This window comes from Homo sapiens, chromosome 17 (genome assembly GCF_000001405.40).
Source record: "Homo sapiens chromosome 17, GRCh38.p14 Primary Assembly".
Lineage (NCBI taxonomy): Eukaryota > Metazoa > Chordata > Mammalia > Primates > Hominidae > Homo > Homo sapiens.
Window position 1 is genome coordinate 58,517,911 of NC_000017.11, and position 26,471 is coordinate 58,544,381.

General features: G+C 52.1%; 2 protein-coding genes and 1 long non-coding RNA gene across 26 annotated transcripts in view, besides 5 other annotated features; 1 reads left to right on the forward strand and 2 right to left on the reverse strand.

Moving 5' to 3' along the window:
* MTMR4 (myotubularin related protein 4) overlaps window positions 1–1,137 on the reverse strand; it is a 29,511-nt gene extending 28,374 nt beyond the window's left edge. The window contains exons 1-2 of one of the 2 annotated variants that reach the window (XM_047437019.1): window positions 617–1,127; window positions 182–508 (exon numbers count right to left, since the gene is read on the reverse strand). The gene's annotated coding sequence lies outside the window, so the exon portion shown is untranslated. Of the gene's footprint in view, window positions 1–181 lie in introns of both variants that reach the window. The other variant, XM_006722168.5, reaches the window with a different exon arrangement.
* Window positions 486–1,231: an enhancer, noted in NCBI's record as "H3K27ac-H3K4me1 hESC enhancer chr17:56595757-56596502 (GRCh37/hg19 assembly coordinates)". NCBI's record gives its function as "activates a minimal SCP1, AML or CMV promoter by ChIP-STARR-seq in naive H9 embryonic stem cells {active_cell/tissue: H9 hESC(naive)}" and the evidence as "EXISTENCE:reporter gene assay evidence [ECO:0000049][PMID:30033119]".
* Window positions 579–678: an enhancer, noted in NCBI's record as "active region_12484". NCBI's record gives its function as "activates an Ori minimal core promoter by ATAC-STARR-seq in GM12878 lymphoblastoid cells {active_cell/tissue: GM12878}" and the evidence as "EXISTENCE:reporter gene assay evidence [ECO:0000049][PMID:35858748]".
* Window positions 1,927–26,471, forward strand: part of SEPTIN4-AS1 (SEPTIN4 antisense RNA 1) — a 37,089-nt gene continuing 12,544 nt past the window's right edge. The window contains exons 1-3 of the long non-coding RNA NR_110810.1: window positions 1,927–2,067; window positions 7,791–7,907; window positions 25,547–25,688. This is a non-coding gene — a long non-coding RNA (SEPTIN4 antisense RNA 1). The remainder of the gene's footprint in view (window positions 2,068–7,790; window positions 7,908–25,546; window positions 25,689–26,471) is intronic.
* SEPTIN4 (septin 4) lies at window positions 2,346–26,418 on the reverse strand. Of its 23 annotated transcripts, XM_047436309.1 has the most exons (15): window positions 26,361–26,418; window positions 24,012–24,056; window positions 22,756–22,763; window positions 21,202–21,298; window positions 8,772–9,068; window positions 8,310–8,403; window positions 7,785–7,871; window positions 7,168–7,291; window positions 4,057–4,191; window positions 3,826–3,943; window positions 3,635–3,736; window positions 3,344–3,440; window positions 3,088–3,250; window positions 2,833–2,932; window positions 2,346–2,575 (listed from the first exon to the last, which is right to left on the reverse strand). In XM_047436309.1, the coding sequence occupies exons 3-15, from the start codon at window positions 22,761–22,763 to the stop codon at window positions 2,516–2,518; spliced, it is 1,482 nt and encodes a 493-aa protein (XP_047292265.1). In that variant the 5' UTR covers window positions 24,012–24,056; window positions 26,361–26,418; the 3' UTR covers window positions 2,346–2,515. The 23 variants fall into 23 exon arrangements, 20 of the variants coding, with proteins under 20 accessions (XP_047292265.1, NP_001355701.1, NP_001355700.1 ...); NM_001368772.2 differs by lacking the exon at window positions 21,202–21,298; NM_001368771.2 differs by lacking the exon at window positions 21,202–21,298 and having other exon boundaries at window positions 24,716–26,418.
* Window positions 11,030–11,530: an enhancer, noted in NCBI's record as "H3K4me1 hESC enhancer chr17:56606301-56606801 (GRCh37/hg19 assembly coordinates)". NCBI's record gives its function as "activates a minimal SCP1, AML or CMV promoter by ChIP-STARR-seq in primed H9 embryonic stem cells {active_cell/tissue: H9 hESC(primed)}" and the evidence as "EXISTENCE:reporter gene assay evidence [ECO:0000049][PMID:30033119]".
* Window positions 13,304–13,804: an enhancer, noted in NCBI's record as "H3K4me1 hESC enhancer chr17:56608575-56609075 (GRCh37/hg19 assembly coordinates)". NCBI's record gives its function as "activates a minimal SCP1, AML or CMV promoter by ChIP-STARR-seq in naive H9 embryonic stem cells {active_cell/tissue: H9 hESC(naive)}" and the evidence as "EXISTENCE:reporter gene assay evidence [ECO:0000049][PMID:30033119]".
* Window positions 13,902–14,351: a silencer, noted in NCBI's record as "silent region_8772". NCBI's record gives its function as "represses an Ori minimal core promoter by ATAC-STARR-seq in GM12878 lymphoblastoid cells {active_cell/tissue: GM12878}" and the evidence as "EXISTENCE:reporter gene assay evidence [ECO:0000049][PMID:35858748]".

Here is a 26,471-nt window from a genome sequence, read left to right on the forward strand (position 1 = left end):
GCCCCTCTCCTGAACCAATCATATCTCTAGCCTGTACCCGCCCTGGCCAATGGCCACGCCAAGTCCCGCCCTGCCCCCATCACGCAGCCACCGCCCTCACTCTCGACCCCACTCATTGGTCGAGTCGGGCAAACGCCCTCCCAGCCTTTAGCCAATCGGATGCCTAAAGACGAGACTATACCTGGAGGAAGGAGGCGCGGCGCCGGAGGGGAGACGCGACCAATGGGAAATCACAGCGCGTCCTTGCGGCAGCCAATAGGAGAGCAGTAAAGAGGGGGCTGCTGGCCACTGCTCTGGGGACCGGAAGTGGAGGCGGCTCGTCGCCTACTGGTAGCGCAATTAGAGGCGGGCATTGTAGGTTACATGCCTAAAGCCACTTCCGGTGATGGCCCCGCCCAGGAGGTACTTCTGAAACAGGTCCCCAGTGGCACCTCAGTTTATCCATTCCCGTTTTGGTTTCGCAGCTGTCATCCGGTCCCAACGCCAGAATAGGAGAAAAACCTGCAGGCTAAGAGAGAAGGGAGGGCTGGGCCTGAGGTTCAGTCTTGGTCATCTCCGACTGGCGGCGCTAGGATTTCCCCCTTCCTGTGTCTTGATGGGTTCCTCCAACACTCACTTTGTATCGATAAACGACCCTGCAGTTCTTCACGACCTGCATTGCGCTGGCAGTCCTGAGTGAAGAACTCTCCTCTCATCCCAGAGATGGGAAACCTGGATCTGAGACTGCCAGCTAGCTGCGGCCTCCTAGTCTGTAAAGCGAAGGGAGACCAGGACGCTCCCAAGGACCCGGCTTATCGCCCCTCCCTTTCCTTCCCGGGGACCCAGAACAGACCACAAGACGGAGGGTGGCCGCTGGAGGTCGCCGTGGCCCCGCGATACCACCAACCGACAGAAATGGAGAACAGTTGATTCAGATTCAGCTGATATTCTCAGGTCTGGAGCGGGCCTGAGCGCTTTAATTAGCCCGGGGCTAATGTCCTCACCCATCTTTGTTTATAGAACGTTGAAACTCCAGTACTGTTGGTAAGTTCCAGGAAGACAGGAACTTTGCACTACTTGAACTCCAGGGTCTAGAACAGCCTGCAATCTAGCAGATGCTGTAAATTTTTTAATTAAATACTGAACTCCTGTAGGACGGTGATTGTGTTTTTATTCATTCCCAGCACTTACTATAGTGTTTGGTGATTACAATGGCTGCAGCATTTGTTCAAAGCTCTATCACAGGCTTTCTACAGTGTAGAGCTTAACCTGCCTATCCCTTTTCCCAGATCAGGGGAAACAGAAAGTCAGGAGGTTGCACGCAGTTAATACCTTGTGTTTTCCCAAGGGCAGGTATCAAATACAAAACTGCGTCCGCCGCAGCTGGAATACGCACAGGCATCAAAATGGGGCCTTTTGGGCCGGGCGCGGTGGCTCATGCCTGTAATCCCAGCACCTTGGGGGGCCGAGGCGGGCGGATCTCAAGGTCAGGAGATCGAGGTCATCCTGGCTAACACGGTGAAACCCCGTCTCTACTAAAAATACAAAAAATTAGTCGGGCGTGGTGGCGGGCGCCTGTAGTCCCAGCTACGGAGTCTTGTAGTCCCAGCTACGGAGCTTGCAGTGAGCCGAGATAGCGCCGTTGCACTCCAGCCTGGGCGACAGAGCGAGACTCCGCCTCAAAAAAAAAAAGGGCAGGGGGGACTTTTGGACAGTCCTTTAATATTGGGGAAGTGCCCCAAATTTCTTTTTCTTTTTATTTTTCTTTTTTTTTTTTGAGACGGAGTCTCGCCCTGTCACCCAGGCTGGAGTGCAGTGGCGCCATCTCAGCTCACTTCAAGCTCCGCCTCCCGGGTTCAGCCATTCTCCTGCCTCAGCCTCCCGAGTAGCTGGGACTACAGGCGCCCGCCACCACGCCCGGCTATTTTGTATTTTTAGTAGAGACAGGGTTTCACTTTCTCCTTAGCCAGGAGAAGTGCCCCAAATTTCTAATCCCTTAAGCCAGGACCTTGGTAGCCCTGAGGTGTGATGGGAGACTCTGGACAGAACCACCTGTTGACCTATCCAGGACCCAAATATGCACCACAGGTAGGAATCTTTTTATTACCAAAGGTACTGTATGTGTGAAAGATGGAGAGAGACCCAGACCCCAGATAACAGAGGCATGATAGATATGATCGTCAAGATGGAGAAGCCAGGCTGGATTCTAAGCAGGGACTTAGAAGGGGAAAGGAAGTGGAAAGTTTTCCCCACTCTCCCTTCCCTACTAAAAGCCAGAAACCAACATCTTCTACCATTAGCCTTTCAAAACTGGGTCCCAGGATCTTGATCTCCAGGTCATAAAAATACACACAGGGACACCAGAAGCCACCTACAGATTTATTAAACTTTATTTCCTCTGAGTCTCTGGGCAGTCAGCAGGGATGTAAGGCGAAGTGGCAGTAGCTGAAGGGGCCTGAGCAGAGCTGGTGCTGGGAGGGGCCGGCATGGACAGGAAGAAGAGGAGGAGATTTAAATATCCAGGGCTGAAAGCCAGTTAATAGTTCTCCTTCATCTGTTTTTGTATTTTGTGTAGCATCTCCTGCATCCGCCGCAGCTGGAATAGGCACAGGCATCAAAATGGGGACTTTTGGAGAGTCCTTTAGTATTGGGAAAGTGCCCCAAATTTCTAATCCCTTAAGCCAGAACCTTGGTAGCCGTGAGGTGTGATGGAGACTCTGGACAGAACCACCTATTGACCTATCCAGGACCCAAATATGCACCAGAGCCAGGGATCTTTCTATTACCAAACAAAGAGATACCAACGTTGGTGATCAAACAGGAGACCTCCCCTATACCCCATACTGCTCTCACCTCCTCATCTTTCTCTCGGATAAGCTTCTCAGTTTCTGGATCTGTCCCTGGTGGGACAGCAGGGATGGGGAAGTCGGTACCACTTTCCCGAGTCAGTTTGCTAAAGGGAGAAAAGGGTTGATAAGGCGAGGAGGACCCCAGCACCCGCTTAGATTGAGCCCAGGGCCTATAGAAGAACAAAAGTAGGGCTTGGTCTCACCCAAGGCTAGGCTTGGGATCTCCCCCTGCCAGCTTTGTCCTGGCTTCTGGTCATACTTGCGATTCCGTTCCTTCACCACCAGGCGGGTCATGCTCTGGATGCACTGTGCCCGGTAGTTCTCATAATGTGTCTCCCGTGTCACATCCTTCAGGTCCTGCATGTGGGTACGTACCAGCATTGTCCTCAGCTTCACAAAGTCGCAGTGCCCTGGGTTTTCCACTGCATAGCAAGGCTAGGGGTCAGCCAGAGGCATAGGTAGGGGAGAGCCACTGAGGGCAAGGAGATACCCTGGTCACAGGCTCAGTGCTTTACCTTCCACGATGCCCCAGGGGTAGAGTCGACCCCGAACTCGCCGCCCTCTGGCCTCTACTACAGTGTTGCTGCCAATTACTGCAAATGGGATGCTTTCCTGGAAGAGGTTAGGGGTGCCTGTCAGCACCCTCTGTTCTCACCTCTTTCTTTCCACCTGTATCGTCATCTTCTCTGCTTCATTCTAGGAAGCCAGGGTCCTTTCCCACCCTGATAGCCTGAATATAGAATTCTACTCCCTTTTTCTACCCGGAAGAAATAAGATAGGAATGGGATGCCCTAGAGTGGCCCCACCTTTAGGGCTTGGTCCTGCAATTTGAAGTCCTCATCCTCATCAGAGTCACAGTCTGGGAATTGATAGATCTTGATTCCAAAATGCTCAATCTCCTCCCGGATCTGACAAACAGATGAGGGGCCCACAGTTCTGGGGACCACATCCTTTCTAGAAGCCCACCTGATCCCCTCCCACCACCAGCTTCCCTCACTTTGCGTTTCTTGTGGTCCACTTCGGGAGGTGTCAGTGTGTCTGCCTTAGCCAGGATAGGCACGATGTTGACCCGCTGATGCAGGGCCTTCATGAATTCAACATCCAATGGCCGGAGCCTGGGGAACAGGAACCTGTGACCACCTGCTAGTGGCAGCCCTGCCCCTGGTGCTCTTGGCCTGTTCCCTTGACAGCACCCGGTGGTGCCAGGAGCCTCAGGCTTGGACCATACCCATGGCCGAAGGGTGAGATGAAGTACAGGCAGCAGTGCACCCTGTTGTCTTGGATGTTCTTTCGGTTCAGGCCACTCTCGTCTCGGAAATACTGCTCAAACTGCTGATCAATGTATTCTGCCACAGGCTTCCAGCTGGGGCAGGGACAGACAAGCAGAGAAACTGTGAGAGTGGGAGCCACCTAGTGAGCTCTGGGACTACAGAGAAGTAGCCCACTCCCTGAGCAGTGTTTTTAAGACACTGTTATTCCCTGGCTTGCTTTACTAAATCTTTAGAGAAATTCCTGAATGGGGTGGGGTGTATCTCACATGTCCTGATACAAAATTAGACTGAGTACTCAGGCAAGTTTAATAAATACTAGCTTGATGAGAGGGAAAGGGCCCAGGTGATCAAACAAAGCAGTAAGAATAGGCTGGGCACGGTGGCTTACCCCTGTAATCCCAACACTTTGGGAGGCCGAGGCGGGTGGATCACTTAAGGTCAGGAGTTTGAGACCACCCTGACCAACATGGTGAAACCCTGTCTCCACTAAAAATACAAAAATTAGCTGGGCGTGGTGGTGTGCACCTGAGTAGTCCCAGCTACTCAGGAGTCCGAGGCAGGAGAATCACTTGAACCCAGGAGGCAGAGGTTGCAGTGAGCCAAGATCATACCACTCCAGCCTGGGTGATGGAGCCAGACTGTCACAAAAAAAAAAAAAAAAAGAAGAAGAAGAAGAAAAAAAGAATAGCAAGGTGGCTGCAGGCAAATACCAACTGGAAGCCAGGGAAACCCTAAGTCAGGTTTCCAGTGTAACCTCAGAGCCTCTTTGCTCATGTGTTTCTACCCTTTCCTCTACCTCTCCAAACCCACTCCATCCTTCAAGGCCCTAAGAACCATCTCTTCCACGAAGTCTCCTTTGACTATACCAATACACACTGCTCTCCCCTTCTCTTCACTACAAAGCAAAACAAATAAATAAATAAATTTCCCCAAGAACCTCAATTTTCATATCCTTTGCTCTTCTATTATCTTGTTTAATCCTCACTGCCCTGACAGGTGGACATTATGCATTATGATCATCATCACTCTCATTTCATACATGAAGAAACTAAATCCAGAGCAGCTAACAGATTTGCTCCAGGCCAGGTGTGGTAGTTCACGCCTGTAATCCTAGCACTTTAGGAGGCCAAGGTAGGCTGATCACTTGAGCCCAGGAGTTCAAGACCAGACTGGGCAACATAGCGAGACCCCCATCTCTACAAAAAATACAAAAAAGTTAGCTTGGTGTGGTGGCATACACCTGTAGTACCAGCTACTTGGGAGGTTGAGGTGGGAAGATAACCTGAGCCCGGGGAGCCCCGGGAGGTGGTTGATCAGGCCACTGCACTCTAGCCTGGGCAACAGAGTGAGAACCAGTCTCAAAAAAAAAAAAAAAAGAAAGGAGGAAGGAGAGGGAAAGGAAAAGGACTTTCTGTAGGTCATTTAGCTAGTAAATTCTCTACCCACCTGAACCCCTACAGCTCAGTGCACTTGCCACTACACATTGCCTGACCCATTTACTAATTTAAGTTGCTATCTGATTGAAACATGTTAGAGAACTGCCCCCACCTCCCCTGCTTCCCTGTTGCCACTTGACTATAAGCCTCTCAGGGATAGGAATCATTCATGCTTGTTCTGAATCCCTTAAAATGTCCACCACAGGCTGGACATCTAGTATGTGCTCACATTCTAGCTGATTTGATGCTCTGCCGTTGCCATGTTGAAATTCTTAAAAATTTTGAACACGGGGCCCTACATTTTCATTTGCACTGGGCCCAACAAATTATGTTGCTGGTCCTGCAATTACCATTGTTAAAATTCCTGAGTATGCTGTAAATAGCCCTTTACACTTTTCAGTGCGCATGCATCATGTTGGGTGATGTTCAAATCAATTGGAGAGGTGGTAAGGGCTGGTATATTTTAATTAAATAAGTGTCTGACAAAATGAATATATATGGAGGTACACTTTAAACTGTGAGGTGCCTGGCAAATGAAATTATTAGTATTATGGAAGGTAAGAGACAGTAGGTAAATTGATTGAAGGAGATCATTTGCTCAAGATCATGAAGTTACTAAATGCCAATCAAGATTTGAACTCTCTGTCTAGGGCTCTTAGCACTGCCTGCCTAACTTCTTCATCAAAGCTACCACCTTTTCTCCTGTCAATCTCATCCATTTCCCTCTTCATCTACTCACTTAGGTCTGACCATTACCTAAGCTGGAGGTAACGGTCAGACCTACTGACCATTAGCTGGAGGGGGGTCCCTCCAGTGCCTGAAAAATAAAAAAGCCCGAATGATAGGGGGTTGTGGTAAATCCAGCTTTTCTTTCGGCAGGTAGCCTAGAGGGTGCCTGGAGTTTAAACAAAGTTCCACCATTTTTCCCTTTTGCCTATTCTTCCTCACCTTTACCCTCCCTCCATACATGCCCAGCCCTTCAACAAGATTGTGTGCGGCACCTAAAATGTTGCTAGTGAAAGGAAAAAGGGTGACAGTTTATTCGGCATCTACTATGTAATCAACTCTGTGCTACATGTTTTCACACTTCACATGTGTTTGTTTTTAAGGCTCTTCTTTCTTATCTTTTTTTTTTTTTTTTTGGAAGGTTTCGCTTTGTCTTCTAGGCTATAGTGCAGTAGTGCAATCATGGCTCACTGCAGCCTCAACCTCCTGAGCTCAAGTGATTCTCCTGCCTCACCCTCCCCAGTAGCTGAGACTACAGGCCTATGCCACCATGCCCAGCTAATTTTTAAAACTTTTTGTAGAGATGGGATCTTACTATGTTGCCCAGGCTGGCCTTGAACTCCTGGCCTCAAGTGATACTTCCGCCTCAGCCTCTTCTTTCTTATGTCCCTACCCCATTATAGAATCATAGGGCAGAATTGGAAGGAACATTAAAAATCATCTATTCCAATCCTTTCCCTCTTACTTTATAAAGGAGGAGATGGCTGTCCAGTAAGGGAAGTCACATGCTCAAGGTCATAGACCGCTTCCTCCTGATAAGTATGGATATATCTGGGCCTACGTGTGTACCTGTGTATGGAGAAGGGTGGCTCAGGGGCAGCTGGGATTGTGCTTACTCAGACATACCACTCTGTGTTGTTGACTGCATCCCCAAAACCTGGTGTGTCCACAATGGTGAGCCGCAGCCTCACACCCTTCTCTTCTATGTCCACTGCATGCTTAGTGATCTCCACAGTTTGCATGATCCTCTCTGGAGAAAGGGGAAACTGAGGCCAGGGCAAGGGCAGGGACCTGCCCAGTCAGGATGAACCGCCCACCCCAACCAGCCTTGTTGCTCAGACTGCCTAATCCACACTGCCCCCTTCTCCACTCCCAAGCTGTCTGGGGGACTGTTCTCTGGGAACCAGCAAGGAGTACATTTCCCAACACAGGAAATGCCGGTGGCTGTTGGCTCTGGCCCCAGCCTCTTCTCTGCTCCCGGTTTTTTTCTTGGATTCCTGGAATCCTTGGGGGTCAGAGACTCATTCAGAGAGCAAGACTCTGGTCTCTGCCCTGCTTCAGCACCCAAATCTTTAGGGAGCTGGCTGGTGGGCTGCCAGGCAGTTAGGCCTATGGAGAGCTGCTGTCAGTCTCTCTAGGAGGCCATGGTTTCCTGCATGTGGGGGAGAGCCCCATCCCCCAGACTCTGGAGTGAGTTTAATTTCCCAAGGCAAGTCTGCCTGATTGTCCTCTCCTTTCCTTACCTTCAGCACCAAGAAGTTTCCGGTCCCGGTACAGATCAGTGAGGAAGAGGCTATTGACAAGTGTGGATTTGCCCAGGCCAGACTCTCCTGAGAGGAGAGAGGACAGAGGCACCAAATCAGAAGGTAAGATCTATAGCCAAAAAGCAACTCCACTGGATCAAGGTTTAGGGGGGACTGCTTTCTTATCTAATTGGAACTAGACTAACCAAACTATAGCATTTTAGAGCTGGGAGGAAGCACAGAGATTGGCTTGGGGGAGCAAGAGATTGCCCAGGGTCACACAAAAAGAGGCAAATGCTAGGAAACTGTTGGTCAGATGCTCTTTGCAACCAATTCGAACCCCCACCCCCACCCCACCCCACATACATACACTCTCACAGGCCAATGACTCCTGGCTGTTTTGCAAAACAGTACAGCCACTCGCTGCTTGCTCCCTGCGACCTATACTCCCTTCCCACTCACGGACACACACACCATCCCCACCTGAAACACACCCTGCCCAACCCAGCCCTGCCCCTTTTTTACCTGCCACCATGAGGGTAAAGTCAAAGCCTTTCTTCACGGACTTTCGGTGGACTTGGTTGGGGAGGGTTGCAAAGCCCACATACTCCTTGTCATCCTAGTAGACAGGAAGGCAGAATGCATCACGGTGAGGAGCCAAAGGGGCCCCGGCACCCAGCGCCAATCTTCTCTCCCTTTCAGGCCTTTGCCCCAGCCTTAAAAAAGCAGTGCCAGACTTCTGTGAGTTCCCATCTGAGGCCACCAGCTGGGCCTCCTGCCCTTGCTGAAACTGCAAATTTCCAGTGCCCTTGGGGGCAGATATCTTGGAGCTAGGGCTGACACAGGACTGAAATAGGTCCCAGATACACACACACACAAACACACACACACACACACACACACACACACACACACACACTCTGCTCCCTGCCCCCGGTCTTCCTGCAGCAGCCCACTGAAAGGCAAAGGCAGGGCTGGAGGCTCTACCTCAGAGGAATCATAGGGATCAAGCTTGCCCCATGGGCTGCGGGGCCTGGCAGATGGGCTGAGAGGGGCTGGGGCACAGAAGTACTGCTGGTTGTCAGAGGACTGGGGCCGCGAGGGGGGTCTGAACTCCAGGTCATCATCATAGAGGTCCGGGGCCTGGGGCCTTGGCTCCGGGACTTGGGGCCTGGATGCCCAGGTCTTAGCCTCTGGTGGGTGGCAGCTCGCATTTCCTGAGAAATCCTTCACGAACTTGCTCAGTTCTCCATCATCCGTGGTGTCCTCCAGGAAACGCTTGATCTGGGGGAAGCGGGGTGGGTAGAATAGATGGGTGGTGCCGGGAAGGGAGCCGGAAGGGAAGAATGAGGAAGGAGACAGAAGACAGGAGAAGGCAAGAGGGAAAGGGAAAGCACTTGTGGTTAGAAGAAAAAGAAACTGCAGCCAAGACAGAGGAAGTGCTCACCATCCCTCCCTCACCTGCTCACAAGCCTCCCCAATCCAATATGCCAGGAAGGGTCCCAGGGTCCAGGAAGAGCCCTGGGCACCCCCAGAGCCCTGGCAACTGCTCTTGGGAACTAAGGAACTCCAGTTCTGGTCTCCTTCTCAGCAGCATGTTTTTTGAGGCTGCCTTTCCTGGGGTTCTGGCCTAGCCAGGGACTGTCTCAGGCCAGGAAGTAAGGCCAGACTGATTAAGATAGAGCAGACAGAGGCATTAAACCCAAAAGGAGAGTACAGTGCATCAGAATGGGGCAGGGACATGAGGGAAGTAGGCAGGGGAGAAGAAAGCTGACTGCATCAGGCAGGTCAACCAGCAGGGGGTTCTGTACCTCCTGTCACTACTGGTGAGCTGGGGGACTGGGGTACAGATTCTACTGCTGGTGCTCAATTCCCAGGGTTCACTGCCCAGCGCTCAGTATAGTTGATCCTACCCCTTACTCCAGACACTGAGCCACACCCAAATCTGACCCTGGGCCCTGGGAGAGAAGAGTAAACCCGCCAGTGGATGCTGACTGTGGGTGGGAGGCAGCTGGGAGAGACCAGGTGAGGGAGGATGGAAGAGCCTGGGAAAGGCTGGGCCTCCAGAGCTTCTGACAGCCCCCAACTGTGAGGGACATATAAGGGGAAGCACCCTGAGTTGTCTCCTTACCCCCTCTGCCCAGAGCCGGCAGTGCACGAGAGGGCCTGGCCTGAACCATGACCCACAGGGAGTGGAAGGCAGAGAATGGACTGACTCCTCTGTAGAAGCCTGTTCTACCCCATCCTCAGCTCAGAAGAGGAACTGTTTCCCCCAACTCTCATTGTCAGCTCTAGACCCTAAAGATTCTCCTCTCCTTTGGGGGTCAGCCTCCTTCGTGGGGTGCCTGGCAGTGCTGGGCTCAGCTCTGCCTCACAATACCCACGTGCCACCCCCAGACAATGGACAAGGGCCGGCTGCAGAGGCTGACTCACTCTCTGAGGGTTAGCCAAGCCAGTGGGGACTACCCCAGACCACTGTGGAGTCCCAGCTAGAGTGAGGAAGATAAGATAGCCACAGTCTTCCTGCAAAGGGAAGAATTGAGGGAGGCAGATATGCATACTGCCAGGTGTATGCCAGAGGGAAGAGGTTGAGATAGGGAGGTTAGAGGGAAAAGTCTGCTAGGAGCTACTGCCAGGCTGTTGCCTCTGAAGTCTTCACACCTGCTTATAGCCATAGTCTCCAGTGCTCGCCTGGACAGAGGGGAGGAAAAGAGGCCCCTTAGCCCAAAACTAGAACCAGCAGATGGAGGCTGGGTGACCAGAAGAGGCTATCCTGAGGCAAGCCTAACCCAAGGCTTTTCTCACCTATGACATTTGTGAGGTCCAGTGGTGACCATACATCCCAGTCTATGCCTGCTGTCCTGGCATCATGATTAATTGTGCCCTTTCACTCTCAAAAGTGTCCCAGCTTAGACAATTAATTACATGGCAACAGAGAAGGGGTGGGACTGGGGGCAGCACGACGTGTTGTCTGGCAGCTAATAAGTCTGGGGAATTCCAGGAAATCCTGCCTCTCTGCACAAATCCACAATGACCCAGCCGTTGGTCTGGGGGTCAGGACAAGGGTGGGAGAGAGAAAGCTGTGCTTCACCTGGTTTCCCAGGAGCACTGAGTGGAGGGGCAGGGAAGGGAGAAAGGAAGGCCCTAATGAAGATCCCTAGCCCCCATGATCTTCCAGCAGAGCCTCCGGGAACCCAGCACCATCCTCATCTCTGCCAGCCCTGGCTGCTCATCCGCATGGAGGGGGCCACAGGGGCTCTAGACAAGGAGTCAGGACACCAGGGTCCTCACCTCCTGCCTGTCCATCCCCACTCCCAGCTCTGCCAGTGACCAAATCATTTTCTGACTTTGAGCCCCAATCCCAGCCAAGGCAGGGGGAAGACAGGTCACGTCCACCCATCTCCCAGAGCAGCACCTTACCCCAGCTTCAGTCCTGTCCTCAGGGACAGAATTCCCTTGCCATCCCAGTGAACGGTCCATGTCCCACGCTTCAGACTCCCTGTCAGAAAGCTCTAGGTCTAATTTTATCTCCCAGGCAAAGTTCCTCACACACAGAAACAGCCTTGTTTTGATGCTGTTGTTGTCTGGCTTCCTGGCTTGCTCCTTTCCCTTTCTCTTTGACCCCCTTCTGTCTCTGGCAGGGGCCAAAAAAGCCTGTGGAATGTCCTTCCCCACCCCTCTTCTCCTCCCCTTCCCTTGGCTCCCACCCTCCAAGGACAGCTCAGCTGCAGCAGGATCACTTGGTTCCTCTGCAGTCCCCTCCTCCTCTGATTGGCTGTCCCATGACGCCTGCCTGCTGCCTACCCTGGTGGGCACAGCACCAACCTCCCAATGTCTGTTTGCAGCCAGGCTTTTGATCCATTTGACCTCTCCTGTTAACCCCCAAGGACACTGTGGCCTGTATGAGGACTATGAGCTATCCCCAAGTGACCTGGCCCATCAGCACATGAGGACAGCCACCTAGGATACCCATTCCCAAAGGATTTCAATCCCCCAGTCTCTCTTTCACCTTAACTTTAAGCAGTGCTGGAGTAGGTGAGATGTCCTATACTCCCCCATATAGGTTTTTGTGGGAATGGTCCCACACTTCTTCCCAAGTGTTCATTTGTTTTTTTTTTTTTTTCCTGTGAGGAACGTCACTGTTTCAGAAATCTGCTCCTAAATTTCCCTGCAGGGAGCATCAGCCACAGAGAAGACTTTGCTCCAGGGACTCCCCTTACCCTAGGACACCTGACCTCTGACTTATAGCAACCTGTATCAATTAGATCACTCCATGGCTTCCATAGTGTCAACAGGGGAGCTGTTAGCACTTGGTCTCTGAGGAGCACGGGTTCAAGGCAATGGGAGGCTGGCAGCCCAGAAGCTTCAGAGCTGCCATTTAGGTGGGAGATAAATTAAGGGGCCTGGTTGGAAGTGTGCACTCAACTAGGGGTCAGGGGTCCACTGTTTCTGGTTGGGTGGAAACATCTTTTGTGAGTCTGGATAGTGTCTTAATTTGAGGACCTTAATGTTCAGTTGTGAATGGCCCTTCCTTGCCTCCCAGCGAGGCTGGGGAGAGAAAGCACTCCCAGATGATAGATACCTTAAGCTGCTTTGAACCTGAGAAGAGAAGGTGCATCCCAAGTCACAGGATGGTCATTAATGTTGGCCTGTCATTCTTTTCACATGTAAATTTAAACCCCCTGGCATAGCTGGGTTGGGGGGGTCTCCCCCACTGATTCCCAAAGCAGCTAGGACACTGACCTCCTTTGACAAAGAGACCCTCATAGAGGAGTCTGATCTGAACCAGTCAGCCTAAGAACTTGGCTGGCTTGAGGGCAGGGGCCTGAGGATGGGGACTTTGGTGATGGTGGTTGGGGTGGAGGGGGGTGTGTCTTTAATTAGAGAAGAACAGTGTGGCCTCGGACAAGCCGAAAGCACCAAGACCTCAGCTGAACTGAAGTTAGTGTGTGGCAGAAAAAGCCCCTCTAGCCCCTGCTGGGCTTGGCACTGGGGACAATCAGTGCTTCCCTAGGCTTCCATCCCTAGAACAATCAGTCCATCCATCCACCATGTGGGGAGAAGTGGGGGAAAGGAATAAGGACAGGCCTCTCTCAGGAACCCCCGTTGGGGGAAGGTCACAGGGTCACCAAGACTTCCTGGCCAAGGCTTGGGCCTCTGCCTGGACACAGCTTGAGAGACAAGAGCCCAAAAGGTTGGCCCTACCAAACCTGAAAGCTTCTGATCCCAGGGGGCCCAGGGAGCTCCCTTCTGGAGGCTGCCCACAGCCAACATCCCGCCCCACAGGCTGGTCAGTGATCCCCCCCTGCTGTAAACAGTTTGTGTCCCCCAATGCAGAGGGCAAAGGCTGTGGGGCTTCCAGACTGAGAGGAGAGGACGGTGTGTGGCCTAGAGGTCCTGACACCCTTACGTTATTTGTGGCAGGCTCTGGCAACAATGTCAGGAGAAGAGATTACATCTTCAGAGCCAAGCATCAAAAACTTCCTACCTGGGCACCTCCAGGGAGGCTGGCTGGGGTTACTGTTTCTCTTCCCACTACAGGCAGGTGGCAGGGATGGGTGCCCCCACCCCCACACACTGCAGAGGGACCTGGCTGGTGGGGAGGGAGCGGGTAGATGCAGCAGGAGGAAGCTTTCCCATGGTTCCTGTCCCAGGGGCAGAAGGATATAGCTAATCCCACCGGGCAGGATGGTGGGCTGGGCCTCCCCCTCTCTGGGGTCCCTTTGGGAAAGGGCCAGGGACTGCCCCTTGTCAGGCTGAGGGAAGGAGGGGCCAAGCGTCTTACCATCCCTCCTGGTGAGGCAGGCAGTGTTTGTGGGCCTCCTCTGCGTTTTCCAAATGAAGTTGGTACTGGCCCCTGTGCCCAGGGTAGGTGGGTGAGGAGGGGTTACTCAGGTAAAAGCTGACCCAGGCGAGGATGGGGACCCTCACCTCCGCTTATTACTGATGCGCCTTCCCCAGCCCAACAAGCGCGTCTCCACCAGCGGGCACCTCCCTCAGCACGGACCCACCCCTTCGTCCTAGAGCGCAGGCATCACCCAGGGGTTGGCGCCCACTCCGTGGCTGCTCAGAGGGAAAAACTTGGGAGCAGCGACGCACCGCCGCCCGGCAGCAGTGCCAGCCTGTGCCCGGGGCCGGCGACGGCGCCTCCCACCCTGCACAGCCGCGGCTGCGGTGCCGCGGGTCCCCTTGCAGCCGCCCGGGAGCGACCGGCCCTGCGCACCCCAGCCCTGCCCCGCGCCCGCCCGCCTGCCTGCCTGCCTTACCATGGCTGCAGCCCGGGCGGGGCCGGCTCCGCCTGGACAGCGCCCGAGCGACCCGCGGCGGAGCTGCGCGCCGACCTCGCAGCACCGCCGTCACCCTCCCGCCTCCCCGAGTGCGGACCGCTGCGGGAGGGGCCCGGCGGCGGGGGCGGAGCGAGTCGGCCCCGGGGCGGGGCCTGTACCTCAGCTGCTAGCGGTGCCGGCGCGAAGTGGGTCGGGGTGCCCAGCTGGGGGCCGGCCTCGCAGCCCGCGACCCCCGGATGCGCAGAGTATGCAGAGTCACCCAGGACAGAGCGGGGAGCCTCAGCTCCTCGTCCCCGGGCTGCACTGGACACCTGGCTCTTTTTTACTCAGCTCCAGAAGCACCGCGGGGGCTTGAGCCAGTTCCCAAAGAAAAAGGAACGGCCCACCTGACATCCCCAGAAGGAGACGCCTTTGGAAGGGAGGGGGAGTTGCTGCATGAGTTGGAGAGAAACCATTAGTTACCGCAGGGATTCAACAAGGTTTTCACAAAGTGAATCCGGCTGATGCCCAAGTTACTGATCACTACACCTCCTAAAGGGGAATGTCAGATATTCTCCACCTCCACCCGAGCTGTGAAGGGGCAGGTTAGAGGCAGGTTCCCTTCATGCAGTACCCCAGATTACAGATTAAAGAGGATTTGCTGCACAAATTATCCAGGGATCATCTGCTGGAAGGATAGAAGGGAGAGGCTGAGTGGCTTTAACAGGGCGGTGTAGCCTTGCCTGTGGCTGAGGACAGTGGGGAGGGCCTCAGGAGAGGCCAACCCAGGCGTGACCCAGGCCCAGCTGGGCCACTCTTCCTCTGACAAGCAGGTGAGATGCCGAGGGGACAGATGCCCCAGAAGCTTTAGAGGCATTAGAGGCTCAGAAAGGTCAGAGCAGCAGCTAGGGGAAGGCAGATGCTTGGTGAGTGGGGTGTTGGTGAGGGATTCCCTGAGCTAAGTAGGGTCTGAGCTGGTCAGGCTCCTGTGGAAGTTTCCAGAAGCATGTCCCTTCCTGACCCGCAAGACCCCTCTCTCAATGGCAGGCTGACTGGCTTCTGCCTGAATACACTCTGGACAAAACTGAGACCCACAGGCACGGCCCTCTCTGTTGGTAGAAGTGCCAGAGGCCTGCCTGCTGTATTTCAGTCTGACCTGTGAACCAGTAGCACTGGTTGGGACCAGTCAGAACTCAGCCAGGGGAGGGAAGAGGGCCTGGGGCAGCAGGTAAGATCAGGCTGAGAAAAACAATGGGGCTGCTACTGGAGATGTTATTGGCTGTTTGGCACTGGTGGACTGGAAGATGGCAGGGTGTTCATGAGCCAGCCGGTTGAGGAGAAACCTTCCTAGCTGGGTGGCCTTGAGCAACTTACTTCACCTGTCAGGGTCTCAATTTCCATACCTGAAAATGAGGGGATTAAACTAGATGATTTCTAAGCTTCCTTACAGCTCTGGCCTTCTAAAAGTGGATGCAGTGGGGGAAGGAGGATATGCTGTATGCTACTATAGGCCTTGGAGGAAGATAAGAGAACAAGGCAGCAGCAGGAGGTGCTGGAGAAAGGTTGGACATGCAGTGATTCAGGAGAGGGCCCAGGATCTGAGTGAAGGGGGAGGACGTGTAGGATGGGGGCAGCAGCTTGGGTTCCCTGAAAGGGAACCTCTAAAGGTACAGAGAGGCTCCCGGAAAAGACCTGGGGTAGATCAGGGGATCGGAAGCTGTACTCAGGAAAACAAAGACATAAAGAGAGAAACCAATGGCAGTTGGAAGTCTGCAGAAGCAGCAGCTGCTGCTACCATCAGCCCCAAATGTCAAGCTTGGACTATACAAAGCCCCACTGTTCAAAGCCCTGGGCCTCCAATACTCATGTATGCACTCTAAGAATACCTCTTGCGTGCTTCCAGAGTCCTGTGGCCTAGGGTAAGGAGAAAGCCTACATCAGGGAAGACAGGCCCCAGCAGAAACCCTTGTTTTCCTCTATTATAACATGCCCCTCCCCGTGGCCTCAGCTGAATTCCAAGTGTGGACACAGACACATTTCAAAAGGCAGCCCAACCAGCTCATCCTCAGCTGTGGCTGGAATCCCAGCTCTTCTCTGGCACCTGCTGCCCAGGCAGCAGGTTGGTACCAGCTTGCCTTGAGGAAAGTGAGGCCCCAAGCAAGTCCTGGGACCACGGAACTTAGCTCTAAGCCAAGAATATTGGGGTCTAATCTCTTTCTAATCACTGTACCACAGGCCTAACATGAGGCATGCTGGGTGAAATAAAAGCTGAAGACTGACTTTGAGCCATCCCACCTGCACAAGCCCTGCATGCTAACCTACTGCAGCATTCGGAGAGCTCTGAGAGAACTTGGCCTGGGCACAAGTCCCATGCCAACTTGGCTATTATCTCACTGCCTGAAAGTCCCTTGCCCTCTCTGGGCCTCTGTTTCCCCCACTGAAAGAGAAGACTGGACTTCTCCCAAGTCTAGCTCTTACATTCTGTGTGATGGAGGCAGGGTCTAATACCTGCAGGGCCAAGATACAGCAGCCCTTGCGTCAGTCACTGGGGATTTACCGAGTGCTCTTCCTCATCTCCAGCCAGCAGGTGGCCTGGCCAACTCTGCTTCAGCATGGCTTAACTCTTGGAGCGCTAGTTCTCCCTCAAAATTCAACATCCCACCAGGCATTGATGGCCTTGACTACAGTACAACTCCCCAGGCACTGCTAGGGCATGGTATCTGAGCCAAGTGTCTAGGGGAGTGTCTAGCTGGGAAACTCAGCTCAGCCACCATAGCTCTAGCCTGCTGTCTTGGGCTCCGTTGCTTAGGTCAGGCCAACATGATATGTCCTGGCCCCCTCCACTAGGTCTTTCCTGCCCACCCATAGGTGCAGGTTGTATGGCACAGGACCTAAGCAAGGAGGCTGCATGTGGGCCATCCCAGGGCCCAGGTTCAAAGCCGATAATAAAGAGCAATTACCACAGGAAATCAGGATTTCAGATCTGCATGACTAGCAATGGCCACTTCTGCCTTTCAGTAGCTAAGTTTCCCTAAAGTGGCGCAAGAACTAATTGTACATCCCTTCCCCAGTGAGATAGATGAGTCACTGACGATACAGTCAGAGAGTCCTTGGACCAAAGGCTATCACTGGGTTGTGTCTTTCAAGGAAACCTCAGCAAGTCTGTCCAACAAGGTCTGTGGTGGACAAAGGCAATAAACCAAAATACATTAAGCCCAAATCTTCCCCCAGCTGCTGCCATGTGTCCCATGATCCTGGGGGCAGGCATAAGGTGTGGGTGGCAAGGCTGGGGAACACTGTGTTTCCTGGCACCTGCTGAATGGCTGCAAAGAGGGGCAGTTCCAGAGCTGGCAGGGTGCTAGAAGCCAGCCACTCTGATAGGGCAGACAGTCCTTCCAACACCCTCCGTGAACAGGGCAGGGCCATAGGAGCTCAGGGTTGGAAAGGACTTACAAACCTCCTAATGTGACTACTCACCAGATGTCTGAAGGCTCCCCTGCCTTCCCAGCCTCTGCTCGAATACATACCTCCGATGGCCAAAAATTCACTGATTCTAACAACTGCCCTTCAACCTTTGGGCTGCCAAGTTACCAAAGTCTTCACTATACTGAGCCAAAATCTGTCTTTCCCTGGCTTTTACCCTCCATATGCCTCCATGCTGGAAGCTTTGCTGACTCATTTCATTGGACTTTGCTTTGTCCTTTGATGTCCACACCCTTTCAAGTGACCCATCTGTATACTTTTCTCTACCAAATTCACCACAAGCTCCTCAAGGGCAGGGACTATGTCTTTTCTTTTAACCTCTGCTCACTTCAAATCAGCAAACATGTGATGTGATGTTTTTCTGGGTGTCCAGGCCTCTGCCCCCAGGAGATGGCTGATCAATATGGATTGACTAAAAGGACTCATTGATTAGTTTTCCATTCTGATTTTAGAGCCCAGACAAGCCTTGAGGCTCTGCGCTTCATTGACCCTTCACTTGCCCTTCATCCTGGCTGCTCACAAGCTCACACCCACCTCCCAGCCCCGTGGTTCACATACAAAGACACAGATGTTACTCTCACTAAAACCTTTCCCTTCACAATTCTTGATATCTAAAGGTGCTGCTGAAATATTGAGAAGTATTTTCCAGGGAGACGTGGCTATAGAAGAAGGGTTTCTATACCATATAGTTGACTCCCTGGGACAGACTGCTCCTTAAAATGCTTCCAGCTTTGATGAACAAACTCTGAGCCTCAATTTCTTCATCTGTGAAATAGGGAGAATAAATCCACTCATAGGTTACTATGAAAACCCACTAATGCACTTAACATGATCACTAAATGAATGGTAGCTATTATCTCCATTAATAAGAAAATTATCAACATCAAACCAGTAACTGTCAACTGTGACTATTTCAAATGCCTTCCCTCCAAAGGATTTGGAGTGTGCATGTGTAATAGGTGTAGAGAGATGGGAGGACAGAGAATACCAGAGTAATGCCTTAGATTAAATTGACATTGGAATGACCAAGCCGCCACCACCTGTGGAGTCAGCTTCTCCAGCTAGACACCATCTCTAGAAAGCTGGTGCTTGGTCTCAGACCTACCGACCCAAATTCCCAGAAACAGCCACTGTGGAGACCTCTGGAACTAGATGACTTTGCCGGCAGTGGGTGTGCCAAGGAAGCGACACCCACAGTGTCAGCCTGAGCTTCCCTCAGGAACTGCCTCACATTCTGTCCCCCTCCTCCAGGCTTCATTCAGCCCCCAAGGTGCAGCTGTCTCCTGCTGCTCCCCTAACAGCAGCTGAGCCAAAGGCAGCTGAGCAGAGGAGGGTGAGGGGACATGGCCATTTCTGCCTCTCAGGACAGCCTTCCTCTGGCTGAGCACCTGTCAGGGTGGCTCCTGGGTTACAGATTTACTTCCTCACCCAAGTATGCACCCTGGCCTCTGAAGCCAAGCTCCCTAATCTACCCAGGCCCACTGTTTCTGTTACTTGGAAAATCCACCATTTCAAACAGCACCAAACTACTCTGCAGAAAGATGTGATGTTGGAGATGGGTTTCAGTCACCACACACCTTCTGAAAATACACCAAAAAGTCCACAATGGATGTGGCAGATTCTTCCCTATGTGGGACTATTCTGGGCAAAACAAAGAACTAAGGGAGTCTGGCCTCAGCTCTGCTATCAAGTCTGAGAGAAAAGCATTGTATATTCCTGCCCCCATTTTATAGGCAGAGGGAGTAACCTGCCCAGGTCTCACTGTGAAGCCAGGACATTGTTCCCTCTGTGCTTCCAGGCAGACTGCACCACAGCTTGTATTAGGTGACCACCTGTCCTGGTCTGCCCAGGATTGAGGGGGTTCTTGAGACATGTGACTTTCAGTGCTAAAACCAGCAAAGTCCCAGGCAAACCCTGATGAGTTGGTCAACTTACCCTGTCCCCAGGTTAGCAAGTCTTAGCCAGAGGCCACCAGCCTTCCATCCTGCTCTGGAATTGGCTGCCCATGGTAGCTGGAAATGAACAGGGTGCCATCTGACAGGGTAAGATGCTTGCTTCCTAAGAAGCTGTGCAACAATGGTCAAACTGCTATAAAAATCCTCCCAAGGCCGGGCGTGGTGACTCATGCCTGTAATCCCAGCACTTTGGGAGGCTGAGGTGGGTGGATCACAAGGTCAGGAGTTCGAGACCAGCCTGACCAACTTGGTGAAACCTCGTCTCCACTAAAAATACAAAAACTAGCTGGGCGTGGTGGCGGGTGCCTGTAATCCCAGCTACTCAGGAGGCTGAGGCAGGAGAATCACTTGAACCCAGAAGGCAGAGGTTGCAGTGAGCCGAGATCGCGCCATTGCACTCCAGCCTGGGTGACAGAGCGAGACTCTGTCTCAAAAAAAAAAAAAAAAAAAGCCTCCTGAGATGCCCTGCCCCGTTTTCAGCAGTTCTGCTCCATTCTTTCAACAATTCTTTCTTCTCAACTACGAGCCTCTGCCCAAAGCAAGAGAAATGCCGGGTGCAGTGGTTGGTGCCCATAGTCCCAACTACTCAGGAGGCTGAGGCAGAAGGATCACTTGAGCCCAGGAATTCGAGATTACAGTGAGCTATGGATTGCACCACTGCACTCCAACCTGGGCAACAGAACACTTTAAAAAAAAGCGAGGGAGGGTTCCTTTCACATAGCCCATGACCTAGGATTCTGTGAACATCCTCATGAATGTGGAAACTCCCTGAGTTCCTCAGAGGCTTTGGATTTCGCTTTGTAAAGGAAGCCAACCTGAGCAAAATGTCCCTGTGATTCAAAAGCCAACAGGAGGCTGATCATCCCATCCCTTCAGGGTCACATGACATGTCATCCAAAAGACACTGAGGTCTGCCTTAAGTATCAGTGAGATGGCCTCCTCTGATTCCTGGCCTATTTTCCAGAGTTGGTTTCTTGCATAATTGATAGAGCAGAGAGTAAACCACCTTGCCCTATGACAGCCTGAGAAGTCACATTTAAGGATGAGTAGGTCAGATGCCTTGAGGACACAGGATCTTGGGGCTAACACACCCTGTCCATCAAAGGCATTGCAGCCCCTCCCATCAGAACTGCTTTATTTCCAGGAAATCCCCAGGGCTATGTGAGAAGGCAGCCCCCAGTGACCCATTAGGGCACCCTCAGGACCTTCCTGTTGAGCTTTTGCTAGTTCTGATCCCCAAAAAAAACCCATCAGGAATGCTTCCCTTAGTCCAGCATAACCTCCTCTGGGGAGACTCCTGCCCCTAATGTCCCAATCCAAGGATGAGAAGCATCTGTCCACCCCATTCCTTAGACAAAAGGGCTTTGAGGGGCCATTTGGGAAGGGACTGACACTTAAAGAGATGGGCTGAATCAGGCCCCATCCCCAGCTGTTCACCCAGAGAGGCTTGTGAAGCTCAACAACAAACATGATGCCTTCCACAAGCCAGGCATCGTGGCCAGGCCACCAGAGAATTCCTGCCAGGAATGGAATCTGGAACAGACTCTATGGTCAACCATTCCCAGATCAGAGGAATCAGAGGCCTTGGACACCAGCACCACAGCGTCTCCATCCTGAGGCTGCATGGGGCCATGCCGGCTGAGGGACAGGCCGGGGAGAGCCTAGCTCTCTCATGCATTAGAGAGCACCTGGCCCATCTCCATGCCATCCTACCTCCAGAGAGTCAGAGAAGACCAGCAGCCCAGCTGCTTGGGAGCCTTCTTTTCTTGGCTTCTGGGGAGCAGCTCTGCTGCTGAACAGGGCTGGAGAGCTGTAATTATCGAGACCGGATAAGAGCTATTTTAGGAAGGAGCCACCCTGTTGCCAAGGCTTTTGACTTCCTAAACTAAAACAAGATGCACAGAAAAAGGGGATGAAGGTGGGGGAGAACAGGGAGGAGCCTGCTCAGTCAAAAACATCAAATCTTGACTGAAGGGAAATATTAACCCCTTCCCAAAGGTACAGATTTGCATCTAGGGGTGAGCAAAAGGCTAGCTAAGACACCACCATCCCCTGGCTTTGGAAAGGAGGGCATAACCTGATCCGCTACCCATCTCCCTGCAGACTCCCTCTCTAAGACCCTCCAAGAGCACTTACTCAGCCTGTTCCATCTATTTTGACATTTGAGCACAAACTATTTCATATTGTTGTTTAAATGTTTCCTGTCTGTGTTTTATCTCCCCAACCACATGGCAAGTTTCTCAAGGCCAAGGAATGTGTGTGCTGTGAAACTTCAATTCTTCCCCTAAAAGTGCCTAGCAGAGTGCTAGGCAACTGAATAAAAATTGTTTATGGAAGGAAGGGAGGGAGAGAGAGAGGAGGGAAGGAAGGAAGGGAGAAAGGGAGGGAGGGACTTACTGTCTTGCATGGAGATAATCTCTGAAAGTAGCCACTCCCACCTATAGCTGAGCTCAGGGCATAAGGTTGGATAAGAACCCATGGCAGTGGCAGGTGGCAGCCTTGTTTCTGGTCACCTCCCCTTCAGCTGTTCCATTATCTGAGCTTAGGCTGACCCCCACTATGCACTCATTTGTTTTCTATCTGTGGCCAACTGTCCATCCTGAGTCAGCCTATGAATGGGACCTATTAGAGGCCATTGCTAGGCTTTGGGTAATAGAGAAATATGGCAAGAGAAAATAATGGAAGTAGGAAGAGCTTTGACCATCTTATCAAACATGGGCCAAGAATAGCCAAAGTACTTATGGGAACAATGCAGCGAAATCAGGACACTGCCAAATCAGGACACGGGACTGCTGACAGCAGAGTCCACCTTGAGTTTTTCCAAGTTGAGGACCCAAATAGTGTGTAACCCAAAAAAGCGACCCCTTTCTGGAATGCCCCAGGCTGAAAAGAGGAGAACCAGGTGGGGACTGATCCAACGGCTACCTAGACGGCCTTCCCACAGAGCACTTGGCAAGAGTCATCATCTGCCAAAAGGTCTCTGTTCTTTCTCGGACTGCAACTAGCTCATACAGTGCTTTTGTGCAAATCCCCCTCTGGGGAGATGCGGTTCCACAGGTGCACAGCTTGGCAAATGGAACACAGGTTATATTTCAGCCCCCCACTTGCCCCCTCTACCAGGTGCTCTTGTGCAGTGAACAATCTGCCCAACCATAGGGAGCAGCTCTGTCTCCCTCCATGCCCACTCCCATTACAGGACAGGAGATGGATTTGGATTGTGGGGTGGGCCCAGGAAGACTGGGAGTAACCTCCCAGGGGCATTCTTACCTCCTCATCTGTCATAACAGAGTAGAAGCCAGGCATTCCCAGGGGGCAGCAAATGGAATTCAGAGAGTGCCAATAGGAGGAGAAAAAGAGAAATTTACTAAAGATGCCCAGTGGACTTGGGCAAACCTGGCCCAATCCCTTCCTAGTGCAAGTGGCCCAAACAACAGCAGCTAGTATTTACTGAGTGCTCACTGTTGCCAAGCACCGTGCTAAGTGTTTTATTGGTAATAACTTGTAATAATCCTCACAATAACCCTAAGAGGGAGCCATTATTCTCAGTAACAGATGAGGAAACTGAGGCTTGGAGAGGTAAAATAACTTACCCAAGGTCACAGTCAGAAAATAGTGGACCCAGGGCCCAAATCCAGTTAGATAACTCGAGTTCGTACTTTACTATGCCCCTACTTTATAGAGCTTTGCTCCCTCTGAGGAGCAGGACTGCCCTTCTCTGCTCTTTGCTGACCATCACTAGGAGGGTTCATGCTGGTTGGGATTGGATGGAATTCCCAGGGCTCTCTCCTCCCCAGGAACTGCTTTATCCATAGCCCTGGCCTCTGTCATGCTCATAGGGCTGGAGTATATTTTGGGCCACAATGCTCACAGCAAGAAGTCCCTGCTGCCAAGATTTACTCCTTGAGGTCTTGTCCCCACCCTCCCCTGCCCCCAGAGAGGCCAAGAGTATAAAGGGAGAGGAGGGTCACAAGGCCTGGGGACACTTCTCTTAAGGATTCTAGAGCTGCAAGACACACTGATGGCCTCAAGGGGGAGGCCCAGACATCTCTGAAGATCTTGCCTGGGCAGCACCAATAAGTACCCCAGGTGGTAAACTTGGGGCATGAGGAGGGTTCTGAGGAACCAGAGAAACACATGAGAAGAGCCCCCAGCCTGAATTAGCGTGAAGTCAACTCTGAGCAAGACTGTGAAGCAGGCGGTTTGCTTTGGTGTATTTTTTAAAATCATGTGATAGATGACCAACTAAGCTGAAAAGGCCATGAGGCTTAAATTATTCTCCATTCCAGAAGTAACTTCCTGTTAAAAGGAGACTCTTGAAAATGGAAAAGGTTCCAAGCCCCAAAGAAATGACTCTAATGGTGAAATTTTCAGCAAGATGAGAAGTTCCTCTGCTTCTTCAGGTCAAAATCCCAGCATTTATCTCCTAAACGACCCAGCTCTGTAGATACATAGATGCCACTCCTCACCTGTCCTCCCATCCCCCAAGCTCCCACAGTGGGCCCATAGGAGGGAAAAGCACAGACCTTTTAGCCACCAGATGACACGATTGTACATTTCCTCAGAGACATCTGAAAGTAACAGAGAGATGGTTGCTTTTCTTCTCTCTGTGGGATGCACATCCCACTCTCCACTACTTGCAGCTCCCTTTCTAGCTCCACATTTCTCCACTCAAAGGTGCCCTCAGCCCTTGGTCCTCTCCAAGAAGCTCCTCCAGCCTAGGACTATATATCGTATTCCCACTCTCCCTTTCTCTTTTTTACACCCTCTCTCTGTGCCACTGTGAATGCCTTTCCCCTCCTGGAATCCCAGCTCATCTGCATCCCACCCTCTCCACTTTGTAGCCAGAGTATTTACCTGAGGCCCTTATTCTATTTAACAGCCCTTGCCAGCCCTCACCCCAGCTCAGTTCTTCATCCCCACTCAGGAAGCAGCTTTCAACCCTGCAAGCCCCTCTCTACTACCTTCAATTAAAAAGGTAAGCAGTGTTGCCTGGAGGAGTCAATGCCTGTCGCCCGGCCCAAGCATCCATCATCAATGTCATTAGCTTGGAGCACAGAGAAGCTGGCAGGGAAGGAATGGAGCAATAGGCTCAAGGATAGGACTAGCTTTGGCACTGGCAGGAGAGCAGCCCTTAGGCCCAGAATGAAGAGGTGGTCTTTCCTGCCCACCCCAACATCCCATCTCACTAAATTGGGGCTGCACCTGGGCAGTCTGCTTCTTCACATACCCAGGAAGAAAGCAGTAAACCTTTGAATGGGTTGTTTGCAGGTGTGCTTGGGGGTCTGTGGCACTTCACTCAGTGGTGCCCAACTTGGAAACTCCTTTGGTGGTGATGGTGGTGATAGGCTTGCCTTCTCTCTCTGGAACTTCAGATCCTCACAGAAAGGGCTAGAGTCTATTTTAAAACCGGACAATAAAAGATCTAGGGAAGGAGAGCACTTAGGCTCAAAATCCGGTGTTGTCAGCTGGCTTTGGGGTGTTTCAACTTCAGGATTCAGCAAGGGCCACCATGAGGAGTCAGGTCCGTACCTAGGTAAGGACCGAGGAGGCAAGGGCCTAGGGGTCAGTTCCAGTTCTGCATGGATGGAGGGCTTTTGCGAGAGTTCTGGATACCTGGGTGTAGGTCCTTGGGACATGTAAGTAATTTCTGGGGGTTTTTGGGTTTGCTGTTTATAGATGGGCTCTGGAGTAACAAACATGGATGACTTGTGGGAGCCCTCAGACACTGATGGAACTGTCACATGGTGAGTTGGCTCTACTGACTGTACCCCTGGGGAGATGGTGACCCTGCGGCCAACCTCGCTGTTTCCTCGGATTGGGGTCCTCACGTTGGACTCCACCTGTGATGATACTAAGACCTTTGCGGAGGGCTTGGTTTCAGGATAGGCAGAATACTTATGAAGAGACTCAGGGTCTACCCGTGCAGAAACTCGGTGTACACCATCAGAATCTTTAAGGACAGAGAGTTTGAGCAATGAGTCCAAGTTCATATTCCTATACAAGGCCTTGGGTTTTGAAGGAATTGGACCGTAAGGACCTGTTTCTGATTCTTCTACAGGGACCCTTCTCTGGGCTGTCTGATAGTCTGCAGAGACACAGCTGCTTCCGTGCTCTAGGAGAGAGGGACTCCTTGGAGATCTGATCTCACTAGTAGTCGTAATTCTTTGGATGGGCTCAGTTTGTACTGCTTCATCCTTTGGGTAAGACAAAATCCTACGGGGAACTCTGACTCCTTGGGGGTTCTGGACCTTGGATGGTGGGTCATCTTCTAAGATTTGTGATTGTAAGTTATTCTTCTGGTCTTGAAAACTCAACTGATGAGTAGATTTGGCATCTGGGATTGATGAAGCATGATGGCCGACCTCGCGCCCTGACTTGCTCTCACTGCCTCTTCGTGCTGCTTCCTCTCTGGGTGGACTAACTTTCCATTGTCTGCTTGAAGCATGGGAAGCCAGTGTCTGAGTCTTCTGGCTCTTTAGATGGGGAGAGGAATGGCGGGATGATTCTGTTCTTGGTCCAGTCTCGGGTCCCCGAGGAGTGGGTACTGCATAGTGTCCAGGTCCTGACTGGAGGGAGACAGATCGAGGGTAGTCTGATGCTGAATGGGGAGTGGTGGGATGTGCAGCTTCTGATCTTCGGTGGGAAGGGTTCAGGGAGACTGCAGCACTTCGATGGCTTGAGGCAAGAACGTACCCATGTCCCTGCTGAGGGGATGTGTTAGTAGTAACCTCAGACCCTCTCTGTGCTGAAACCGCTACCTTGGCCCCAGGTTTATTTGTCTTGACCATCTGATAGATTGTGCCCTTCTGAGTAGATCCCGTATTTTACTGGCTGGCTTGTATTCAGGATCCTAATGATGCCTGAATATTTACCCTGTTTTAAAGCTGCTGTTTCTTGGGCTCCCACAAAAGTGGCTGTTGTTCTAAGAGTGTCTCAAATAATCCCCTTAGCTACCTCTCTGTCTGGTGATGTCATAAAGGAAG

What these genes read in the sequence shown, in the direction of transcription:
- SEPTIN4 (NM_001368771.2), bottom strand. Translation starts at nt 26,276, where the DNA reads ATGGTCAAGACAAATAAACCTGGGGCCAAGGTAGCGGTTTCAGCACAG. An exon ending in GAAACTTCTTGGTGCTGAAG is followed by an intron (nt 7,292 to 7,784) that starts GTAAGGAAAGGA and finishes CCCTTTCTCCAG; the next exon opens with AGAGGATCATGCAAACTGTG. An exon ending in TCCGAGAGAAAGATGAGGAG is followed by an intron (nt 2,576 to 2,832) that starts GTGAGAGCAGTA and finishes TGCCTATTCCAG; the next exon opens with CTGCGGCGGATGCAGGAGAT.